The sequence below is a fragment of the Homo sapiens genome, chromosome 15 (assembly GCF_000001405.40).
Source record: "Homo sapiens chromosome 15, GRCh38.p14 Primary Assembly".
Taxonomy (NCBI): Eukaryota; Metazoa; Chordata; class Mammalia; order Primates; family Hominidae; genus Homo; species Homo sapiens.
Window position 1 is genome coordinate 26897815 of NC_000015.10, and position 26139 is coordinate 26923953.

The 26139-nt window shown below is 36.2% G+C and overlaps 1 protein-coding gene across 8 annotated transcripts in view; it reads left to right on the forward strand.

Annotated features, from left to right (window-relative positions):
• The window catches only part of GABRA5 (gamma-aminobutyric acid type A receptor subunit alpha5), an 82490-nt gene that overhangs the window by 31096 nt on the left and 25255 nt on the right, over positions 1-26139 (forward strand). For all 8 annotated transcript variants that reach the window (NM_001165037.2, XM_017022055.2, NM_000810.4 and 5 more), the window contains exon 7: positions 16989-17071. In NM_001165037.2, coding sequence (NP_001158509.1) covers positions 16989-17071 — 83 coding nt within the window. The remainder of the gene's footprint in view (positions 1-16988; positions 17072-26139) is intronic.

The window sequence follows — 26139 nt, forward strand, 5'->3', positions numbered from 1 at the left end:
CATGTCGAACATCCCCTGTGTCTCGGGGATGCAACTGACCCACGGAGGGGCTTTTTAGTGCCCATTTTATCACATTGTTTTCTAAAAAATAATGCACCTCTTCCAAGTTCATGACACTTGGGGACTGGTAACTCAGAGCTCAATAATTTAAACGACAGCAAGAACAACCTGCAACATTTCCTCATTCACAGAAACTCCAGATATTCCCAGAATATTTGCCTGGCCACTTAGGGGTAATGATAGACTGACATAAAATGAGTTGCCGTGGTAGAAAATAGAGCATTTTGAAACGTGCACTGGAAAGAAGAGATTTAGGGTTGGATCACTTTCTTAGAAATTGAGAAGAATGCTACTGATTGGCAGATAGGTGGAAAATTGCTGTCAAGTTTCCAAGTATGGAAAAACAAATCCTCTGTTCAGTGAGTCAAGGCCCATGGGAAACGTAAACCAAATATTTGCATAGTGGAGGATGCTGTACAGCTGTGCTGGTGAGGCTACCTCAGGTGGGCTTCTGAGTGTCACTTTATACATCAAATTTCTATCCACTCACCCACACGCTTCAACAAGCACCCTTTCTCTCCACTCCCCAGAGAGGGGATGTGGTGCCATCATTTGAAAGAGTCTGCGTTGTTAAAACAAAGTGCTTAAATGGCATTATAAATATTAGCTCAAAGTATTCATTGGTTATCAGAGGCATTCAGAATTGTGGAAGAGGAGATCCAGCGATTGAAAGCAGCAACATCTGTAGGATGGAAGACTGGCACCTGTAGGCAGGGACCCTGTGGGCCTTCACATCCCCAGTCAGCATTCCCTCTGACCTGCCTGTAAGCCCAACAAGCTATGGGCTTTCTTATCTCCATTTCATTTACCCAATCTTTATTTCCTTTTTTCAGTTATCTTTGGGCTTAGCGTGCTCTTTTTTTTTTTTTTCTAATGTGTAAAGTTCCTTAATGTGTAAAGTTCAGTTATCAGTTGAAATCGTTTTTCGTTTTTAATGTGGGCATTCAGAGCTATAAATTTGACTCCAGGCACTGCTTTTGCTAGTCCCATAAGTATTGATAACTTGGGTTTTTGTTGTCATTTATCTCAATATTTTTTTCTTTTTTTAGGGACAGGGTGCCATCATAGCTCAGTGTAGCCTGAACTCCTGGGCTCAAGTGATCCTCCCACCTCAGCCTTCCAAGTAGTTAGGCACATGACACCATGCCCAGCTAATTTCTTTTATTTTTATAGAGACAGGGTCTTGCTATATTGCCCAGGCAGGTTAGGAACTGCTGGTTTCAAGCAATTCTCCTGCCTTGGCTTCTTAAAGTGCTGGGATTACAGGTGTGAGCCACCATTCCTGGCCTCAAAATTTTTAAAATTTCTCTTATGATGTACTCTTTGACCCATTTGTTATTTAGAAATGTGTTTAATTTCCACATATTTGTGAAAGTTTCAATTTTCCTTCTGTTACTGATTTCTAGTTTCATTACATTTGGTCAGAAGAGATACTTTGTATGATTTTACATTTTTAAAGTATGAGATTTGTTTTGTAGTTGAACAGATTGTCTATCCTGGGCATGCTCCCTGTGCGCTTGAGAAGAATGTGTATTCTGCTTTTGTTGGATAGAGTGTTCTATATATGCCTGTTAAGTCCATTTGCTTTATAGTATAGTCAAAGTCTTGTCAATGTTCTCTCTAGATACTCTACTCATTATTGAAAATGGGATATTCAGGTTTCCAACTGATATTGCAGAATAGTGTATTTTTCTCTGAGGTTTGTTAGTTTGGTCTGATATATTTTTGAGTTTCCATTTTGAGTTTCATATAGGTTTATAATTTCTATACATTTTGATGAACAGAGCCACTTATTATCATGTAATATCTTTGTCTCTTGCAACAAATTTTGTCTTAAAGTTCTCTTTGGTTTTGATGTCAATGGAATGCCTTTTTCATCCTTTCACTTTTGACTTTTTTATGGTTTTGGAACTAAAATGAGTCCTCGTACATGATAAAGAATTATTTTATATATCTATATCGATTCTGCCAATACCTGCCTTTTAATTGAAGTATTTAGTCCATTTACATTTAATATAATTGCTGAAAGGAAGGACTTTCTACCTTTTTTCTATTTGCTTTCTATATTGCTTATTCATTTCTTGTTCTACAGTTCTTTCATTTCTTCTTTTGTGTTTAATTGATGTTTTTTAGCGTACCACTTTAATTTTCATGTAATTTCTTTTACTGTATATTTTTAAATTATTCTATTAGTGGTTACCCTGCGGAATAAAATTAACATCTAAATTTATAACAATCTGGTTTGGGTTAAAACCAACTTAGTTTCAGTCATATATAAAAAACTTTGCTCCAGTAGCTCTGTCCTCCCATTGTTATTGTCATAAATTGTATCTTTACACATAGTTTGTGTAACATAGATTTGTAAATATTTATTAACATAGATTTACAATTATTATTTTATGCATTATTTTATGCATTATTAAATAATTATACAATTTTTTTGTATTTAAAGTCATATGGGATAAAAAATGGGTTACAAATCAAAAATATCATCATACTGATTTTATATTTACCTACATCATTACTGTTACTGCTGTTCTTGATATGGTTTTGAGTTATCCTCTTGTGTCCTTTTATCTCTGCCTAAAGGATTCCTTTGGCATTTATTATATGGCAAGTCTTATAGCAACGAACTCCCTCAGTTTTTAAAGAATGTATTTTTTAAAAGAATTTCATTTTTGGAGCAGTTTTAGGTTTACAGACAAATTAAGAGTATGGTACAGAAATTTTCCATAAACCCCTGTCCCTATACATGCATAGCTTCCCTCCTTACACATCCCCAACCAGAGTGGCACATATGTTACAACTGATGAACCTAAATTGACACATCATTATTACCCAAAGTCCATACTTTACATTAGGGTTCACTCTTGGTGGCGTACATTCTGTGTGTTCAGACAAAATTATAATGACATGTACTCACCATTACGATATCACAGGAGTATTTTTGTTGCTCTAAAAATCCTCTGTGCTCTGCTTAATTTTATCCCTCTCTCCCCTGAACCCCTGACAACTACTGACCTTTTTACTTCTTTTATAGTTTTGCCTTTTCCCAGAATGTCAAATAGTTAGAATCATACCGTGTGTCATATTTTCAAACTGGCTCACTTCACTTAGTAAAATGCATTTGAGTTTCCTTGGCACAACACTGCATTATCTGCATACACTATAGTTTATCCATTCATCTATGGAAGGACATCTTGATTGCTTCCGAGTTTTGGTAGTTATGAATAAGGCTGGTATAAACATTCTTGTGAAGGCTTTTGTGTAGGCATAAGTTTTCCATTTCTTTGGGTAAATACAAAGAGCACAATTGCTGATACAGTAAGGGTTTGTTTAGTTTTCTAAGAAGTTGCCAAGCTGCCTTCCAAAGTAGCTGAACCAATTTGCATTCACGTCAGCAGTTAATGAGCAAGTTTCTCTTGCTCCACATCCTCTCCAGTGTTTACTGTTGGCAGTGTTCTGGATTTCGGCCATTTTAGGAGATGTGTAGTGATATCTCAATGTTGCTTTAATTTGTGTTTTTCTGATGACATATGTCGTGGAGCATCTTTTCATATGCTTATTTATCATCTGTATGTCTTTTTTAGTAAGATGTTTGTTAAGGTCTTTTATCATTTTTTAATTGGGTTGTTTTCTTATGACTGAGTTTTATGAGTTCTTTGAATATTTTGGATAACAGCCCTTTGTCATATATGCCTTCTGCAAATATTTTCTCCTACTGTGTGACTTGTCTTTTCATTCTTTTCACAGTGTCTTTCACAGAACAGAAATGTTTAATTTTAATGAAATTTGGCTTATGAATTCTTACTTTCACAGACTGTGCTTTTGGTATCTCATCTAAAAAGTCATCACCAAACCCAAAGTCATTTAGATTTTCTCTTATGTTATAGGAGTTTTATAGTTTTGCATTTACCATTTAGATCTGTGATCCATTTTGAGTTAATTCTTGTGAAGGGTATAAGGTTAGTGTCTAGATTCATCTTTATACATGTGCATGCCCATTTGGTCCAGCACTTGTTGAAAAGACTGTCTCGTCTTCAGTCTGTGGTCTTTTGCTCCTTTGTCAAATATCAGTTGGCTGTATTTTTGGGTGGCTATTTCTGGACTGTGTTCTCTTCTATTTATCTAGTTGTCTATTCTTTCACCAATTCTACACTGTCTTGATTACTATAGCTTTATAAGTCTTGAATTGGGTGGTGTATGTCCTCTGACTTTGTTCTTTTCCCTCGATATCATTATGGCTACTCTGGGTCTTTTGCCTCTTCATATCAATATTAGAATCAGTTTGTTAATATCCACAAAACAACGTGCTTGAATTTTGATTGGCATTGCATAGCATCTGTAGATTGAGTTGAGAGGAACTGAAATCTTGACAATATTGAGTATTCCTATGAATGAACATGGAATTTATCTCCATTTTGTTCTTTAATTTATTTTATTAGAGTTTTCTTGTTTTTCCCCTAAATATTATATACTAATTTTGTTAGATTTATACCTAAAGATTTCACTTTGGGGTGCTAATGTAACTTGTATTGTGTCTTTAAAATTTCATTTGTTCATTGCTGATATATAATAAAATAATTGACTTACATACATTGACCTTGTATCAGCAAGCTTACTCTATTCATGTATTAGTTCCAGGACTTTTCTGTTGTTGATTCTTTCAGATTTTATACATAGACGAGCATGCTCAAGCTCAATTGTGCTCAAGCGCAATTTTGTTTCTTTTTTTCTTTAATCTATATAAATTTTACTTCCTTTACTTGTCTTATTACATTAGCTAGAACTTTCAGTATAATGTGGAAAGGGTAGTGAGAGTAGACATCCTTGCCTTGTTCCTGATCTTAGTGACAAAGCTTTTAATTTCTCACTATTAAGTATGATGTTAGCTGTAGGTTTATGGTAGATTTTTAAAAAATCAAGTTGAGGAAGTTCCCCCATATTCCCAATTTACTGAAAGTTTTTATCATAAACAGGTATTAGATTTTGTTAAATGCTTTTTCTGCATCTATTAATATGAACATGTGATTTTTCTTGTTTAGCCTGTTGATGTAATGGATTACATTAATTGATTTTTGTTTTTTAAAAACTTTCATATTAGGTTCAGGGGTACATGTGCAGATTTGTTATATAGATAAACTGTGTCACAGTGGTTTGTTTATAGATTATTTTGTCACCCTGGTATTAAGCCTAGTAGCCAATAGTTATTTTTCCTGATCCTCTCCCTCATCCCACCCTCCACCCTCAAGAAGGCTCCAGTGTTTGCTGTTCCCCTCATTGCATCCATGTGTTCTCATCATTTAGCTCCCACTTATAAGTGAGAACATGTGGTATTTGGCTTTCTGTTGCTGTGTCAGTTTGCTAAGGATAATGACCTCCAGCTCCATCCATGTCCCCACAAAGGACATGATCTTCTTTTTTATGGCTGCATAGTATTCCATGGTGTATATGTACCACATTTTCTTCATTGATTCTAACTTTGATGGGCATTTAGGTTGGTTCTTTGTCTTTGTATTGTGAATTGTGCTATAATGAATGTAAGTGTGCATGTCTCTTTATCATAGACTGGTTTACATTCCTCTGAGTATATACTCAGTAACAGAATTGCTGGGTCAATGATATTTCTGCCTCTAGGTCTTTGAGGAGTTGCCCCACTGCTTTCCACAATGGTTGAACTAATTTACACTCCAGCCAACAGTGTATAAGCATTCCCCTTTCTCCACAACCTCACCAGCATCTGTTATTTTTTGACCTTTTAGTAATAGCCATTTGACTGGTGTGAGATGATGTCTCATTGTGGTTTTGATTTGCATTTCTCTAATGATCAGTGATATTTAGCTTTTTTTTCATATACTCATTGGCTGCATGTATGTCTTCTTTTGAAAAGTGTCTGTTCACATGCTTTGCTCGCTTTTTAACAGGATGTTTTGTTTTTTTTTCTTGTAAGTTTGTTTAAGTTCCTTATAGATTCTGGATATTAGACTTTTGTCAGATGCATATTAGACTTTTGCAGATATTTTCTCTCATTCTATAGGTTGTCTGCCTACTCTGTTGATAGTTCCCTTTGCTGTGCAGAAGCTCTTTAGTTTAATTAGATCCCATTTGTTCATTTTTGCTTTTTGTTGCAGTTGCTTTTGCTATCTTCATCATGAAATCATTGCCCATTCCTATGACTAGAATGGTATTGCCTAGGTTGTCTTGTAGGGTTTTTATAGTTTTGGGTTTTACTTTTAAGTATTTAATCCATCTTTAATATACTTTTAAGTATATGGTGTAAAAAAGGGGTACAGTTTCAATCTTCTGCATATAGCTAATCAGTTATCCCAGCACCATTTATAGGGAGTCCTTTTCCCATTGCTTATTTTTGTCAGTTGTATTGAAAATCAGATGGTTGTAGGTGTGTGGCCTTATTTCTGGGGTCTCTGTACTGTTCCACTGATCTATGCAGCTATTTTTGTACCAGTACCATGCTGTTTTGGTTACTGTACATCTGTAGTATAGTTTGAAGTTGGGTAGAATGATGTCTCCTGCTTTGTTCTTTTTGCTTAGGGTCGCCTTGGCTATTCAGGCTCTTTTTTGATTCCATATGAATTTTAAAAATAGTTTTTCTACTGTTGTGAAGAATGTCATTGGTAGGTTGATAGGATACAGCATTGAATCTGTAAATTGCTTTCAGCAGTATGGCCATTTTAGTGATATCAATTCTTCCTATCCATGAGCATGGAATGTTTTTCCATTTGTTTGTATTGTCTCTGATTTCTTTCAGCAGTGTTGTATAGTTCTCATTGTAGAGCTCTTTCACCTCCTGGGTGAGCTGTATTCCTAGGTATTTCATTCTTTTTGTGGTAATCATGAATGGGATTACATTCCTGATTTGGCTCTTGGCTTGGCTGTTCCTGATGTATAGGAATGCTACTGATTTTTTATATTGATTTTGTATCCTGAAACTTTGTTATTTATCAGCTGAAGGTGCTTTTGGGCTGAGACTATGGGGTTTTCTAGATGTAGGATCATGTCATCTGCAAACAGGGATAGTTTGACTTCCTTGCTTCCTATTAGGATGTCCTTTATTTCTTTATCTTGCCTGATTGCTCTAGCCAGGACTTCCAGTACTATATCGAATAGGAGTGGTGAGAGAGGGCATTTTTGTCTTGTGCCAGTTTTCAAGGAGAATTCTTCGAGCTTTTGCCCATTCAGAATGATGTTGACTGTGGATTTGTCATAGATGGCTCTTATTATTTTAAGGTATGTTCCTTCAGTACATAGTTTGTTGAGAGTTTTAACATGAAGGGTACATTAATTGATTTTGGAATGCTCCCTCAGTGGCTGTTTATCTGGAATATCATAATTTCTTCTTCATTTTGAAGGATCATTTTGTTGGAAATAGAATTCTTGGTTGACAAGTTTTTTTTTTCTTTCAGCACATTTAGTATTTCCTCCCACCACCTCTGGGCTTCCATGGTTTCTGATAGAAATCACCTGTTTATGTTACTTAGGATCCCTTGTGCATAAGTTTCTTCTCTCTTGCTTCTCTAAAGATTCTCTCTTCATCTTTGACTTTTGAAAGTCTGATTATAATGCAGCTCAGTCTGGATCTCTTAAATTTATACTACTGGAAGTTTATTGAGTTTCTTTTCCTTCATAAAATTTGGGACATTTTCAGCCATAATTTTTTTCAAATATTCTTTCTGTCCCTTTCTTCTTTTTCTCTTGTTCTGGGATTCCCATTATGTATCATTTGATACTGTTGATGGTGTCTTGTTAGTCTGTTAGACTCTGTTCATTTTTCTTCATTTTTTTTCTTTCTGCTCCTCAGAATGGATGATTTCATTTGACTTATCTTCAAATTTGCTGAATCTTAATCTTTCTTCTACCTGAACAATCTGCTGTTGAAACCCTCTAGTGAATTCTTTACTTCAGTTGTTGTTTTTTTTCACCTCCAGAATTTTTTTGGTTCTTTTTATAACTTCTTTTTATTTATATTCTCTATTTGTTGAGACATTGTTCTCCAGGTTTCCTTTATTTTCTTATTTCTTTTAGATCTTTGATATTTAAGACAGTTGATTTAACATGTTTTCTAGTAAGTCTAATGTCTGTGTGTCCTCAGAGACAGTTTTCATTCATTTATTTTTCCCTTTGAACAGGCCATTGTTTCTTTGATGTATTTTATTTTTTTCTTGAAAATAGGATATTTTGATTATTATAATGTGGTGACCCTGGATGTTATATTCTCCCATGTCCATAGTGGTTTTTGTTTGTTTGTTTATGCCTGTTGTGATTATTGTTGTTTGCTTGTTTGGTGAGTTTTTGAGCTAATATTGTGAAATCTGTATTGTTTGTTCTACAGGGCCACTCTTTCCTTAGTTCATTGGTCAACTAATGATTTGACAGAGATATTTTTAATGCCTGAAACCAAAATTTAAAAACCAAAACAATAAAAGCCTCTCTCAGTCTTTGCAGATAGGGTCTGTGTGCATGTTAAAACACTCTTTCAGTGCCTAGCCAGATAGTTTACAACATTGCTATAACTTTGCTTTCTTCTTGTGTGGAGTTTGAAGGTCAGCCAGACATGAAAACTTTGGGTCTTTTTAGGTATTTTTTTAGTATGTGTCCAGCCCTGGGCATGCACGTGACCTCTTAGATTTCCTGGTATAAGTGGGAGCTTTACAGCCCTTGTTCATTATGTATACCTTTCCTCAGCCTCTTCTTTCCTAGCTTTATGATGAAATAAATGCTTTAATTTCTTAACGTTAAACTTTGAATTTTATTGTGAGAAAGAACCTTTTTTGTGGATTTGTGCTGTTTCTCTTTTGTAGTATTTTAAAAAAATCATTCAGGCTTATGTGTATTTTCCTACATTTGATCTGTTAAAAAGATTTATTATGGAGTGTGTAGACGCACATAACAAATTAAACAAAAATAATTCCATTTCACGTCAATTATTACAATGTCCTCCTGAGAAACATGAGCATTAGAAAAAAGCAACAGCTATGTTAATCAAAATAGATCAATATACTTTATATCTCTTTTGGATAAGAAATATACTAACATCTCAAAATTATCAAACTTACGATGGTTTTCCCAACATAAATAGGAATTGCTGACATCTTCTTTTCAGTGGCCAAAGAGGAATGAGGATCCTAATAGTGCAAAGCACAGTGAGAAGTTTTAGCCCAGTATAATTCTGATGGTTGGTCTCATGTACCTCCTTACTACATTCAGGGATACAAAAGAAATCCATTAGCCTTAAAATAATTCATGAAATCTGTAATTCAAACTCAAAGTAAGCCGTATAATTTGGATCTATTTTTAAAAAGGAGACACTTTGTTATCTCAATAGCAGATATTTTAAAGCAAGGAACTCTACAGTAATATAAACCAAAGCGTGGATCATTTTAGTGTATTCTTATTTGAAAGACTTTAAAATTTCAGTAATACCCTAAGTTGACTTTTACAAGCTTGCTCTTCACTGAGTTTAAATTCTATTATGTATAAAATAGGTCAATGTACACTTTATTCTTCTAGCTTTCTGCTGCCTACTCCCCATTCCTGCCCCGCAGCAGGACTTGATGTCTCATCTATTTCTTATGACAGGCAAAATCTTGCTTTGGATTTGACGGGGTCAGACTTAGTGCTAAGGTAAAGATCCTTAGGAGGTTGGCAAACCAGGACAATCACAATGGCCAGGCACTGAAAGAAACTAGGTCTGCAGTTCTTGTCTGGATCAAACACAACTGCAGTGGATCTACAACCATCACAGAATGGGACCAGTACACACGTCACAGTCAGAAAAAAAGGCGAGGGAATTGCTGAACCTGGCAGTGGCCTTTGGGTTCCGACAAACTCTGATCCTGACTTACCAACGTTTCTGTTCCAAAAGTTCAGTTTTCATATAGTTGACTGAGCTTCAGAATACATTTTTCCTTGAAATATTATTGTAAGCTGAAGTTAGGTTCCTAGAAAATCAAGCAGTGCCTAACTACAGGTATACAAATAACACACATGGTACATCGTGATACTGACTGCATATAATAAAACAAATACATCCGTGCATTCTTTTCTTTAGTAAACAAATTTGGAGTTATTTTTATGAGCACAGTAGTACAGGGGAGAAAAGTCTAGCCAGGCAGGATTTGGGCATCAGGCAGGGCTCATGGGAAAGTTTCTGAAGGAGAAACAGGCTACCTGTATTGCTAGCATCAGTAACTTATTAAATATATATGTATGTATGTATTTATACACTTGTATGCATGCATATGTATTTCAGTTCTTTTTAATTGAATATTTGGATCAGTATATCTTCATTTGCTAATCTTGATTTGAGTCAGTTCTAGGGAAACAGGCCTGTAATCCTTACAGCTGGGTTTCCTTTCCAAGACGCCCCACTCATAGCACAAACTATGCTCCGTGTGCATGATGTGAATCTCCTCTTCCATCCTTGCTAAGGATGTGACTCAGGTGTAGAGTGAAAATTCACCAGCAGCATCCCTACTGGTGTGCTGAATAAGCCCTGCACAGACTTGCAGCTATGAGTACACCAGAGGCACCAGAGTCAGGCTGCAGCCCAATAGAAGAATATTGCCTGCCGTCATGCCAGCTGCAGAATGCCAAACGCTGTGTCTCCAAACCCTGCAGGCTTTCCGATGGGGCACAACTCTGGTGCATAGAAAGTTTTCTAAGTTAAGCATTGGTGTGTTTTTTACAAGGCCTCTCAGGACTAGACAAAGATCATGATGAAATTAAGCCTTGTTTCTTTTCTGTAGCATCAATCTTTAGATACTGTGTTGATACTGAATTTCAAGGGTCCCTAAATAAATTCCTGTATTGCCTGAGAGTCACGGGTAGCATCTTCACAGGGAGGTCATGTTTCCAATAATTCCAGCTGAGGCACAGCATGCTGTTCAATAACTGACCCAGCTAGGATGCCTCACATGAGATGTCTATTTCATTATCAAAGTCTGAATTTTCACTGCAGTGAACATGATGTGAGCTACTTACAAATTGGCTAATATTACTAAATTTATTTGTCACCTTTGTGAAAATGATTTCAAAATATGCATGGGGCTGCTCTTTGGCACAATAACTGCTGGTCATTAGACTTGTATGAGCTTCCTGTTGCTGCTTAACAAATTACTACATAGTTAGTGACTTTTCAACACAAATTTATTCTCTCACATCACTGGAGACCAGAAGTCTGGAATGGGTCTTGTGTGTCTGAAATGCAGCTGTGGGCAGGATGGCCTCTCTTCTGGCTTCTCTAGGGGACAATCTGTGTCCTTGCCTCTCCCAGCCTCTGGAGGGGCCAGATTCCTTGGTTCATGGTCCTGCGTCACTCTTGCTTCCACTTCCGCCATCAGATTTCCTGCTCTGATTCTGACACTCCCATTTTCCTCTTCTACGTGGCCTCGTGATGACATTTGTCCCACCCAGATAACCCAGGAAAACCTCCCATCTCTAAAGCTTTAAATTCACCACATCTGAAAAGTCCTTTTTGCTATAAGGGAAACATATTGACAGGTAGGAAGAGTTGGGACATGGACATCTTTGGAGACCACCATTTTGTCATAGCATCAATAGGAAATACAAATTTTGGCTTAAAACACAACAAAGTTATTGTCTTGTAATTCCAAAAGGGTCCCAGGAGGCTACAGTCAAGCTGTTGGCAGGATTGCATTTCTTTTGGACGCTCTAGGGGAGAGGCTGTTTCTTGCCTCTTCCGGTTTCTAGAGGACACTTGTATTCTTAGACTCTTGGCCACTTTGCACCGACCTCTGCTTCCTCATCACATGTTTTTCTCTGAATCTGACACTCTTGTCTCCCTCTTAGAAGGACCTTTGTGATTGTATTGGGCTCACATGGAGAATCCAGGATTATCTCTCCATCCCAAGATCCTTAAATGAATCACATCTGCAAAGCCCTTTTGCTGAGTGAGGTAGCATACTCACAGGTTTGGGGTTTTGTGCATTGGCACATGGACATATTTGCAGTGCTGTTATTTTGCCTGCCACTGTCACACCTACTGCATTGATGCAGGATTTCCACAAGAATAAGGAAGGCTTCGATTTGAAGAAGATTTTAGTAGAATTTTGGAGACTTTCTTTAATCACCTCATTGTCATTGAACTGGTAATAGCCAAAGCCTTTTTACCCTTTTTATACTTATCAATTATTTATTTCAGAGAATGAAATAAATGTTTTTTTTTCTTTTTTTTGACACAAGAAGACTGGACCAGATTGGTTAGGCAGTTTTACAAAGGTCACACAATTAGTTAATAGCAAAGCTACTCTAGAATTTGGCCATTTTACCCATCATAAAGCACTCTTCACCCATCAGCTGCTCCTGACCAAGCAGAGAGCTCTTTCTTGAGTTTAGGACCCTAAGCCCTCAATTACGATGACATAAATCCAAATTGAAGCAATTATCTTAAATTATAAAAATGCCCGACCGGGTGTGGTGGCTCACACCTGTAATCCCAGCACTTTGGGAGGCCGAGGCAGGTGGATCACAAGGTCAGGAGTTTGAGACCAGCCTAGTCAACATGGTGAAAGCCTGTCTCTACTAAAAATACAAAAATTAGGTGGGCGTGATTGCGGACACCTGTAATCCCAGCTACTCTGGAGGCTGGGGCAGGAAAAGAGCTTGAACCTGGGAGGTGGAGGTTGCAGTGAGCCAAGATCATGCCACTGCACTCCAGCCTGGGTGACAGAACGAGACTCCATCAAAAAAAAAAAAAAAATCCCATTTCCTTATCCTAAAATCAAGATGTTCTTCAAAAATGGGACATTATGCTTCAGTAAGTGAATGCTTGAATGTCTTAACAGAAATTGGAAGTAAAACAGAAATTGGACCTTTGTAAAAATACTGGATTCCTGGGTCTTCCAGTAATTCAGTGAAGTCTTTCCACAGTCAAGTTTCTTAACCTTTTGGGCTTGATTTTCTTTATCGAAAAAGTGAGGGTTTCAAGCAGGTGACCTAGCTGTCTCTCTTGCGCTATGACAGTCACCCACTCCACAGAGGCCTTGATCTCAGCTCTGTGTGGAGGCGGCTGGTTCCACATCAAAGCATTCCACATTTCAAGAGCCCCATGAATAGAAGGCTTTCTTTCACTGAGAGATACTTTTTGAGTATTATAAAAGCATAGGCCATTTTTGAAATGTTTAGAGGGATCGAAAATTTAAATTTATTTCCTGACTGAGGCTGAAACAGTTCTTATTGAGAGATTTATCTGAATAATACATTCATGTGTTAGAGGAGAGACACTATCATAGATGAAGTATACTTTCCTGAGGTTTAGAATTCTAAGGGGCTCTATAAAATTGGGAGAAGTCACAAGGCTCTAATAATAGCATTTATTGAGATGGTAATTGTAGAAAAACTGTCTTTTTTACATTTTTACTGGAGTTATTTTTTCTTTAAAAGTGCCTTTTTTTAGATCCAGCTAAATGCTGTCCACCTGTGTTTGTGTACCCTCCCTGCCCCCACCCTTGCTGCATGCACACACACACACACACACACACACAAACACACACACTCCTGCAATATGCTAAAAGCCAGCTCCTTGGTATGCATTCCTTGTCAGAATGCCATCTTTCAACATTGTCAGTGCAGTAATTTTCGGAAGGTGGGCAGTTCTCAGGGCCAAACAGCTAGAATGAAGCCCACCATGGCAGAAGGAGCGGCTCTGGTCCCTTTTATAAACACACGGTATTGGCCAGGAGAGGAGGAGGAATGAACCAGGAGCTGGCAGAGTGCCTCACGGGGCCTTTGGGATGAGGTTTCCCTGGGGTCTGCTCTGAGAGTAGGTGCATGCAACAGAAACGTCACGTCTGGTGCCTGCAATGGCCTGGTGGATTGGAGCTGGATGCCAGCACAGAGCAATGGGTTGGGGGTAACTCGGACTCTCCAAGTTGTCAGGAATTCAGCCCGTAGACTGACTTCTAGGCTGCTTCCAGACCCAGTGGGAAACTGAGTGCCTGCCGGGGTCTGGCAGACATGGCAGTGTCTGGAGAGAAGACAACCATCTCCATATCCACCCTGACGATGGCATAGACTGTGTGGGGTTATAGTGTTGTTAGCATCTTTGTCAGAAGACTCAAAGAGTAAAGCCAGGGCTGCTGGTTGAGGTCTTCAGTAGCACAGCTGGGCTAAGACAGTCAGGTCACTTGAAACGCCCTCCCCTCCACCCCACCTCAGACTGCTCCCGTGTGAGCCCCGCGTGTTCCTGTTACAGCCAAGGCCACAGGCGATCGCAAAGCATGCCTCTCCTGATCAGAAGTGTTCTCTAAACTCCCACAGTGCTGTTTCCTCGTGTGCTCATCTTCACATTTATTGCTATGGATCTAATCTTACAGCTTTGTATATACTTCCTATTTCCTGACTAAAGTCTTCCTTCTTAAGGAAATTCTAGATATTTTCAGATCATTGTGATTTTGTCCTCAAGAACACATCTGACCCGTTGAGATTCTCTGTTCCAGTACTGCATCACTTGACAAATTTGCTAACAACCATATAAAGTAACCTGTTTTCCTTTGTGTTGGCTGAATGCCATCCTTATAGGTGACTTTTTAAAAAGTTCTAATTTTCCTAATTCCAATAAGTTTTTTCTTTATTTACCTTACCAATTTCATAGTCTCTAATAACAGCCCTTTTTCATAATTTATGATTGAAGAGGTCAATTGCAGGTTATTTATCAGGTAAAATAATATAAAAGTCCAGCAACAGCTAATTGATAATTACACATACAGACAGAAACACACACGTACACATGGATGCTAGAATCAAATATTTAACCTTTCAATGTCATGATTATATAAAGATTTTGGTGATGGGGGAAGTACTTCTGTTCTAGTGTTAGGTATAAACAAGACTGACTTTTATATACCAAGAATGAAAAGAAAATATATGTACATGTAGAAAAACTCAGGGCTAAATGAAGGTGAAATCATAAGTGAAGTGGTCGATGTTTATAATTATCTTCTTATTCTGTGAATATGTGTGGAAAATCATTTAAAAATTCCTCTCCCAGCCAGATGCAGTGGCTCACGCCTGTAATCCCAGCACCTTGGGAAGTCGAGGCTGGCAGATCACCTGAGGTCGGGAGTTTGAGACCAGCCTGGCCAACATGGTGAAACCATGATTTCTACTAAAAATACAGAAATTAGCCAGGTGTGGTGTCAGGCGTCTATAATCCCAGCTACTCAGGAGGCTGAGGCAGGAGAATTGCTTGAACCCGGGAGTGGAGATTGTGGTGTGGCAAGATTGCGCCACTGCACTCCAGCCTGGGCAACAGAGCAAGACTCTGTCTCAAAAAAAAAAAAAAAAAAATCCTCTCCTTGCCTGAATGTGAGACTTTTGTGTTGTGTTCTAGGTCATCTACACACACAAGCCTCTGTGAGTCACTCCATCTTTGGGGAAACCTTCCGTCAAAAGTTGTGGCAACAGAAGATTTCGTATCTTTGATGGACACAGACCTCCCTTCCACTGACATGTATTTTAGTTTCATTCAGAAAATACATACATTGACTCCTCAGTCTGCAATTACCATGTGAATTATGTGACCAATTTAACAGCAAAAGGTTAATCTATTTTCACAGAAGGAAGTAGTAAAAGCAAAAATGGATGTTTATGTTTTGATTCTCACCCTAGGCTAATCAGCGACATTCAGTCTTATATAACAAGGAATGAACAATAGCACTACTGTAACCTTGAATTATTATTTGCTCTAAAAATAGAATTATAACATGCACTTGAAGTTGAACGTTTTGTATCTTCATCTTTCATTGTATGTAATTTCATTTATTTTAAATAATGGAAAGAAAAACTAACAAACAGAAGATGGGCTCATTAATAAAATTTAGAATCATCCGTAATTGGCAAAGGTGGTAGAGAAATGAAAGCACCACAGTGTGGCGGCTCTGGGAGTGCACTGGCTTCCTACACAACAGAGCCCTGCCTATGCCGCCTGTGGTGGTGCCTTTCAGGGACCTCTGCAGCCAGGGCCAGGCAGCCTGGGTGATTGTTATTGTCATGGCTCCACCACTGAGCAGCTCTGCATTCTAGGCCCCGAATTCCTTAATATCCGCACCTCACTTTTCTTCTTTGTAAACTGAGATGGTTATAGCACCAGATCTCCCCGTGCTGTTAGGGTGAGATGAGTCAATGCAGGTAGAATCCCTCACAGGCTGCCTGGCACAGACATGCCAGCTCTTGTTACCATCATTATTGTAGTTACCAGTGACAGTGGTAGTGCTCGGTGATATTATAATTTGGAAGACTAGGCCTGGATTAAAAAATAATAATTAGGGTGTACCAGAAGATTGTTATGATATTACAGGTTCACTTACTATACAGTTTCATATTGGCCCATTACACAATGGTTATAGCCAGGTTCCGGTCAAAATTTGGGCGTGTAGGAAAACTCTGCACTAAATGTACCACGTGAAGTTATAAGTGAAATAGTAGATATTTGTAATTGTATTACTTCAACTTTTTCTGTATTTTCCCATATTCTACGAATATATGTGCATTTATTCTACATTTATATTTTTTGAGCTTATAAGCAATTTTAGAAAATGCATGTTTTCAGTCCCGTCAAGGAAAGCTTTATGATAATGCTCAATAAGGGATAGGAAACAAAGAATAAATAACTTTTAAAGGCATCTTAAATTGCTTTACAAGCAGTAATATATGTATAGGTACACACCCTAAGCCACCGAAGTGCTGAGTAGATTTGATTTAAGCCTTATTTCTGAATGATATTCACCTACAACACAAACTTACGTAATTTGGTGGGGATAGTTCAGATAATCTCATAAGAGACATTAATTTTTAAAAGTACTTAATATGGCTTTCTGGGACACGATGGTGGCTCAGTGAATGGCTAGAGTGAGAGAGTCGTTCAAAGGTCTTCATCTTTTATTTTTCAGCTTGACCATCTCTGCAGAGTGCCCCATGCAGCTTGAGGACTTCCCGATGGATGCGCACGCTTGCCCTCTGAAATTTGGCAGCTGTAAGTTATTTTCACAAGTAAGAGCCTTGGACATATACTTTGGGGATCAATTCCACATTTATTCAGAAGAATTTAGGTTCTGCATATACATAAGCACAATAGGATGCAGTCTGTTTAAGAAGCGTGGAGAGTGTATTGTTCTCCCCAGACTAGCTTTCTTGTCTGCAAAATGGGGTCATTAACACCTGCCATACATCACAGATTAGGATAAACTATGACAATGCCAGTGACATCACTGAACAATCTGGAATGTGCCCCTCTGGGGGTGTTTCTCCTCAGATCTCAACCGGGCAGTTCTTTTTTGTTTTTGCATCTCAGATTACAGGTCACCTGGTCAAAGGTGACCAGTGCCCAGTACTCAGCCAGTGATATTTTTTATTGTGCTGTAATCATTGCTGTGTTGACTCACTTCTTCTAGAATGTTCCATAAGAGCAACAGCCTCATCTGTCATGTTCATAGTCAGTGCTCACCCACAACACTCAGCATTTTAGGAAATATGTGCTGCTTGAACAAATAAACAAATTATTCATATCACAATACTATAGGTATACACTTATACAATTCTAATAGGAATTCCTGGATTCCAGCCATTCCAGACAGAGGAATTGACAGTTGAGACAGTTGAAAAGTTCTGTGTCTTACAGGAAAATGTAATCCATTTTCTTTACTGTGACAATTAGAATGTTTAAAAATATTCTTGAAATATTTATTTCTCCAAGTATTAAATTTTGTTACACTTGTTTCAGCATCATCCCCACATGTGAGCTATTGGGAGCAGACTTGAAACTGATCTAGTTTCCATCTTTCTTTCTACTCTTCACTTGTGCACATGCTATATGAAGTTTTCACTTTGAAAGCAGAATGTTCTCCTTGAGATGAAGCATGAAAACTGTGTGGGTTTGAATCCTGGCTATCCCACTCCTCTGCTGAGTAACTGTGGGCAAGTTAATTAGACTCTCTGAGCCTCTTTCCTCATTTGTAAAATAGATGAGGGCTGTTATAATATGTTTGAAACTGGCAGAGTAACACCAGTTAAAGTGTTCAATAAATGCCCATCATCATCATTACCATAAAAGTTCATTATATTTATAGCTTCTTGACAGGATGCATGTCTCATCACTATAAATCATCTCTCTTTCACCATGTAATGCCTATAGAACTAAGTTTTGTCAAATATTAATATTGCCACACCAGTTTCTTCTTTAATTCTTGCCTGGGATATCTTTCTACTCCTTTTTTGTCTGTTTCCTGTTTCATTATATATCCAAGTTGAAAAGTTCTGTGTCTTACTGGAAAATGTAATCCATTTTCCTTACTGTGACAATTAGAATGTTTAAAAATATTCCTGAAATATTTATTTCTCCAAGTATTAATTTTTTTACACTTATTGTTTCAGTTATTTTCCTTTCCTCTTTAAAAAGAAACACCACTTGTTGAAGAGATTATCTTTTCCTCATTTTTGTATTCTTGGCACTCTTGTCAAAGATCAGTTGACTGTATATGCATAGATTGATTTCTGGACCTTCTATTTTGTTCCATTGTTCTCTATGTCAGCCTTTATGCCTGTGCCATACTGTTTTAATTGCTGTGGCTTTGTAACATATTTTGGAGTCAGGACATGTAATGCCTCCAGCTCTCTTTTTTCCCAAGATTGTTTTGGATATTTGGGTTTTTTTGTTATTTCATATGATTTTAAACATTGTTTTTTCTATTTCTATAAAAACTGCTGCTGGAATTTTGATGGGCATTGTATTGAATCTAAAGATCACTTGGGTAGTGTGGACATTTTAATAATATTAAGTTTTTCATCCATGAACGAGTGGCATCTTTCCATTTGTTTGTGTTTTCTTTAATTTATTTCATCACTATTTTGTAGTTTTCAGTGTATAGATTTTTCATCTCCTTGGTTAAGTTTATTAATAAGTATTTTGTTCTTTTTGATGCTATAATAAGTGGGATTGTTTTTCTAATTTCTTTTTCAGATAGTTCATTGTTAATATATAGAAATGGAACTGATTTTTGATGTTGATTTTGTATTGTGAAACTTTAATGAATTTATTGATTAGTTCTAAAAGTCTTTTGGTGGAGTTTTTTGGGTTTTCTGTATGTAAGATGATGTCATCTATAGATAGGGAGAGTTTCACTTCTTCCTTTATGATTTGGATGCCTTTTATTTCCTTTTCTTGTTGAATCGTTCTGGCTAGGTCCTAAAGTATTGTACTGAATAGAGGTGGTAATGGTGGGTGGGTATCTTTGCTTTGTCCCTGATGCTAGAGAAAAAGTTGTCAGTTTTTCACCATTGACTATGCAATTCACTGTGGGATTTTCATATGTGGCATTTATCATATTGAGGTAATTTTCTTCTATTCCTTGTGTATCGAGAATTTTTATCATGAAAGGGTGTGGAATTTTGTCAAACACTTTTTCTGCATCTACTGAGATGATCAAATGGTTTTTGTTTTTCATTCTCTTAATGTGATGTATTACATCAATTGATTTTCATGTGTTGGACCTTCTTTGCATCCCAGAGATAAATTCTGCTTGGATACGAATCTCTTAATGTGTTGCTGAATTCAGTTTGTTGATACTTTATTGAGGAGTTTGGCATCTATATTCATCAAGGACATTGGCCTCTTGTTTTCTTTTCTTGGAATATTTTTGACCACTTTTCATATGAGAGTAATGCAGGACTCATAAGTTTGAGTCTTTGTTCCTCTTTAGTTTTTTTTGAAGAGTTTGAGAAGGATTGGCATTAATTCTTCCTTAAATGTTTGGTAGAATTCACTAGTGAACTATCTGGTCCTGGGCTTTTCTTTGTTGGGAGGTTTTTGATTATAGATTCAACTTCCTTACTAGTTATTGATCTATTTAGACTTCCTATTTCTTTGTGATTCAGTCTTAGTAGGTTGTGTGTATCTAGGAATTTACCAATTTCTTCTAGATTATTCATTTTATTGGCATATAATTGTTCATTGTTGTCTTTTACAAGTCTTTTTATTTCTGTGGCATCAGTTGCAATGTCTCCTTTTATTTCTAATTTATTTGACTTTTCTTTTTTTCTGAATCTACATAAAAGTTTGTCAGTTTTATTTTTTTTCAAGGGACAAACTCTTTGCTGATTCTCTGATTCTGTTTATTGTTTTTAGATTCCCTACTTTGTTTATTTCTGCTCTAATATTTATTATTTTCCTCCCTCTACTACATTTAGACTAGTTTGTGCTTCTTTTTCTAATTCCCGAAGGAGTTAGGTTGTTTATAAATTTTCCTCTTGGTGCTGCTTTTCTTAGATGCCAATAAGTTTTGATATGCTGCATTTTCATTTTTATCTGTTTCAAGGTATCTTCTAAGTTCCCCTTTGATTTCTTCTTTGGCCCATTGGTTGTACAAATGTGTGTTGTGTAATTTCCACATATGTATGAATTTTCTAGTTTTTCTTCTACTGTGGATTTCTGGTTTCATTCCATGTGGTAGGAAATTTCTGTCTTCTTAAATTGATTACATTTGTTTTGTGACATAAAATGTGAATGTTCTGTATGTGCTTTAGAAAAATGTGTATTCTGCTGCAGGTGAAATGTTTTATGTATGTCTGGTGTTGTTCCAGCCCACTGTACCTCTTTGTTGATGTTCTGTCTGGTTGTTTTATCCATAACTGAGAGAGAGGTATTGAAATCTACTACTATTATTGCACTGCTGTTTCTCCCTTCAGTTCTGTCAATGTTTGCATTATATTTTCAGTTGTTCTTACGTTGGGTGCATATTTACTTATAATTGTTATATCTCTCTGGTGAATCAATCTTTTTATCATTACATATTGTTCTTCTTTATCTCTTGTGACAGTTTTTAACTTAAATTTATTTTGTCTTATGTAAATATAGCCATCCCTGCTCTCTTTTCATGGCCCTTTATCATGAGATACCCTTTTCCATCCCTTCATTTTCAGTCTATGTGTGTCCTTAAATCTACTGTGAGTTTCTTGTAGATAAAATAGAGTTGTGTAATCCCAGTACTTTGGGAGGCTGAGATGAGTGGATTGCTTGAGCCCAGGAGTTCAAGACCAGCCTGGGCAATGTGGGAAAACACCATCTCTACAAAAAACAAAGTTTTAAATTAGCTAGACATGGTGGTGCATGCCTGTAGTCACAGCTATTTGGGAGGATGAGGCAGAAGGATCACCTGAACCTAGGAGGCAGAGGCTGAGGTGAGCCATATTTACCCCACTGCACTCCAGCCTAGGCAATAGTGTAACACCCTGTCTCAAGAAACAAAACACACACAAAAAAAGAGTCGGATCTTGTTTTCTTATCCATTCAAACTCTCTTGTGTCTTTTGATTGAGGAGTTTAATTCATTTACATTTAAAGTAAATACTGATTGGGAAGGATTCACTATTGGCATTTTGGTAATTGTTTCTATTTGTCTTTTATCTATTGCTCCTCTTTAACTCTCCTGCTGTCTTTGTGCTTCATTATTTTTTTTGTATTGATATGCTTTGATTCCTTTCTCTTCTTTTCTGTAACTTCTATAGTTATTATCTTCGTGGTTACGGTGTAGCTTATATAAAATATCTTAAACGTATAACACTATCTTATGATAATATCTTAACATCAATTACATATAAAGACTACACTTTACTACTATTTCCCACACACTTATTTACATCCATTTATATTGTGCATCATTAACATTTTTAGTTGTAATTATTTCTAATACTTTTGCCTTTTGACTTTTATACGAGAATTAAAAGTGACTTATTCATCACTGTTACAATAATACAGTATTCTTTATTTGTCTGTGTAAATACAGACAAATACCTGTGTAAATACCTTTCCCAACAAGTTTTATACTTTCTTATGCTATTGTGTTGCTATTTAGCATTCTTTCAACTTGAAAAACTCTCTTTAGTATTTCTTGCAAGTCAGGTCTAGTGGTTTTGTATACTTTCTGCTTTTGTTTTTCTGGAAAAGTTTTTGTCTTGCCTTCATTTTTGAAGGAGAGTTCTGCCAGGTATACTTTTTTTTCAGCACTTTGAATGTGTTTTATCATTCCCTGCTGTCCTGCAAGATTTCTGATAAAAAAAAATCCATTCATAATCTTATGACATGACTATTTATAACAACTGGCTTCTCTCTGGCAGCTTTGAAAATTCTTTCTTTGACTTTTGACAATTTATTTAATGTGTCTTGGTGTGGATTCTGGGTTTGCCTTATTTGGAATCCTCTGTACTTCCTAGATCTGTTTCTCCATTTCCTTTCCCAGGTTTGGAAATTTTCAGCCATTATTTCTTTAAATAAGCTTTTGTTGTTGTTGTTGTTGTTGTTGTTCTTTCTCTCTCTCTTCTCCTTTTGAAACTCAGTATACATATTAGTCACTTGATGGTGTCCCATAAGTCTCTTAAGCTTTCTTTTCTCTTCTTCATTCTTCTTCTTGCTCCTCTGACTGAATAATTTCCAGTGATCTATTTTTGAATTCATTGATCTTTCCTTCTACTTGATCTAGTCTGCTGTTGAATCCCTCTGAGGAATTTTTCAGTTCTGTTATTGTATTCTTTAACTCCGTGATTTCTTTCTGGTAATTTAAAAATATTTTCTGTCTTTTTATTGAAAATTCACTTTGTTCATATATTGTTTTCAGTAAGTATCTCTATGATGGTTATTTTGAATTCTCTGTCAGATAAATTATATAACTCCATTTCATTAGGCTCAGTTTCTGAAGATTTGTCTTCTTTCATTTTATGGAACATATATCCCTGTTCCTCATTTCTTTATATTCTGTATTTGGTGTGCACATTAAATAAAACATTCACCTCTCCCAATCTTCATAAACTGGCATTGTACAGGGAAAGACCTTCACCAGTCCACCTTTGCCAGAGATTCTGGGGACCTCTCCAACCTTGGTGCTAGTCAAACTCACTTTCTTTATTCTAAGCAGCTCCTAGGCATCTAGGGTCTGCTGGATCCCACTAGCACTCAGAGACAAGCAAGACTGAAATCGGTTCCTCCGACAGCCCTCAGAGAAGCTGTCTTTCTGCGTTTTCTGCATTAGTTGATATAATCATGTGAGTTTTCTTTAGCCAGTTAAAATGGTGGGTTACATTCCTGCCTTGCAGCCCTGGAATAAACTCTGTTTGGTTATCACATATAATTATTTTTATATATTGTTGAATTCAATTTGATAATATTTTGTAAATGAGTTTTTGCATATATATTCATTTTTTATAATATCTTTTGTTTTGGTGCCAGGGTAATCCTGGCTTCATAAAGTGGGAAGTATTCCCACCTTTTTTATTTTCTAGAAAATACTGTATAGAATAGGTGTTGATTATTTAAGATGTTTGTTACAATTCTTCACTGAAACCACCAGGGCTTGAAGGTAACTGTTTAGGGAGATATTTATGATTTAAATTTTCTTAGTATTTAAGACTATTTGAATTATGTACTTCTTATTAGGTGAGTTTGGGTAAATTGCGCTTTTTGAGAAATTGGTTTATTTTATCTAAGTTATATTAAATTTGTGTAGAGTTGTTCATAGTTGTTATATTACTGTCTTGATGTCTGCAGTGTCTGTAGTGATATCTCTTATTTCTGACGTTGGTAATTTGTGTTACTCTTTCAGCAAGATTGATAGAGGTTTTTCAATTTTATTGATCTTATTATTTGTAGCTCTTTGTTTCATTGATTTCTCTATTGCTTTTCTATTTTTTATTTCACTGATTTCTGCTTTCATCTTTTTATTTTCTTTCTTTTGCTTACTTTGCATTTAGTTTGCATTTCTTTTTTGTAGATTCTCAAGGTGGGAACTTAGGTTATTGATTTGAGACTTTTTTCCCTTCTAGTGTGCTCATTTAATGCTATAAATGTTTCTATAGCACTGCCTTAGCTGTTTTGCTCAAATTTTTAGTCATTGTATTTTCCTTTCATTCCATTAAATGTATTTCTAAATTTCCCTTAAGACTTTCCCTTTGACCCACGTATTATTTAGATATATGTTATTTAGTTTCCAACTGTTTGTAGATTTTTCTGTTATCTTTTTGTCATTGACTTCTAGTTTAATTCCACCATATCCAGAGAATGCCCTCTGTATAATTACAATTCTTTTAAATTTGTGAGCATTGTTTTATGCACAATATGGCCTACTTGATATTTATTCTGTGAACATCTGAAAAGTATGTGCATTTTGTGGTTGCTGGGTGGATTGTCTACAAATTTTGATTATATTATCTTGATTATGATGGTGCTGACTTCACCTCTATCCTTGATGATTTTCTGTCTCATTGTTGTGGATCAGTTGTTAATAAAGGGGCACTGAAATCTTCAGCTATAATTGTCTATTTGTCTATTTCCACTTTCAAGTAAATCAATTTTTGTTACACATATTTTTTAGCTGTATTATTTGGTGCATACACATATATAATTGTTTGTCTTCACTATTTAATATTTCTCTCTGTCTCTGGAAATTTTTCTCTGCTTTGAAGTCCACATAACTTGATATCAATGTGGCCAGTCTTGCTTTCTTTTGATTAATATTTGAATGATAAATATTTTTTCATGTTTTTACTTTCAGCCTCTATATATCATTAGATAAAAAGTGAGTTTCTTATAAATAGCATAGCTCAGATTTTTAAATTTACTTTCCCAATATTTATCTTTTAATTGATATATTTACACTCTTTATATTTAATGTAATGAATGAAATGTTAAGGCTTAAGTCTGCCATTTCTTTGGCTTTCTGCTTTTTCTGTGTTTTTATTTCTTTGTTTTCTTTTGTCTGTCTTACTGTGGACATTTTTTACTATTCCATTTTGATTTATTTATAATGTTATCATGTGTACATTGCTGTATAGCTTTTTCAGTGGTTCTTCTAGGTGTTACTTACTTAATTAACTAATTAATTAAAGAGACAAGGTCTTGCTTTGTTGCCCAGGCTGGAGTGCAATGGGGTGATCATAGCACACTGCAGCCTCAAACTCTTTGCCTAATGCAATCCTCTAGACTCAGCTTCCCAAAGTTCTGGGATTATAGGCATGAGCCACTGTGCTTGGCCAGTATTACTTTATATATACAAAATTTATCACGGTCTGCTGTATACTCATTTTGCCAGTTCAAGTGAAATATGAAAACCTTACCTCCCTTTATGTCCCTTTACCTTTCCCTAATCTTAACACAGTTGTCTTAAATATTTCCTCTACATACATCTTGAACCACATCAGAGAGAGTTGCAATTTTTGCTTGAACCATCAAACTTAATTTTGAAAACTCAATAGACAAAGGAAATTTTATTATATTTATCCATATTTTTACTTACTGTGTTCTTTTTTCCTTCTCAGTGTTCCAAGATTCATTCTTTTATGGTTATCTTTCTGTTAAGCAAACTTTCTCTAGCCATTATTTCAGGGTAGGTGTGCTGGCAATAAGTTCTCTTAGTTTTTATTCATCTAAGAATGTCTTGACTTCTGCCTTTGATTACTGAAGATATTTCACTGGATATGGGATTAAGCTTTGACAGTTCTTTTGGCGCTTGAAAAATGTGCCACTTCCTTCTTGCCTCCAGGTTTCTGATGAGAAATCTGTCTTTCAAATTTTTTTTCTTTATAGGTAAGGTCTCATTTCTGTCTTGTTACCTTAAAGACTTTTTTTTTCTTTGTTTTTAGTGTTCAGAAGTTTGACTATGATGTTTATTGGTGTAGGCATATGATATTTATAGGTTTATTGGTCTACACCAATAGCCTTTCTGGTGTGCTTGCTTGTTTCTGTAGGTTTTGGTCAAGTTTGGGAAGTTTTATGAATTAATTCTTTGAACACTCTTTCTGGTCCAGCCTGTCTCTGTTCTTCCCTGACCTCCAAGACATGGATCTCAGCTCTTTTGTTACACTGTCATTTTCATCTACTTTCTTTCTGTTTTACAGATTGGACAATTTCTGTTGTTCTGTCTTCAATTCACTGATTCTTTCCTTTTTCCCCTCCATCTTATTTTGTTCCTCTAAGGAACTTTTTATCATGGATATTTTACTTTTTAATTCTAAAACTTCTATTTTTTTTTCTATAGCTTCTGTTCTGTGTTGAGACTTTCAG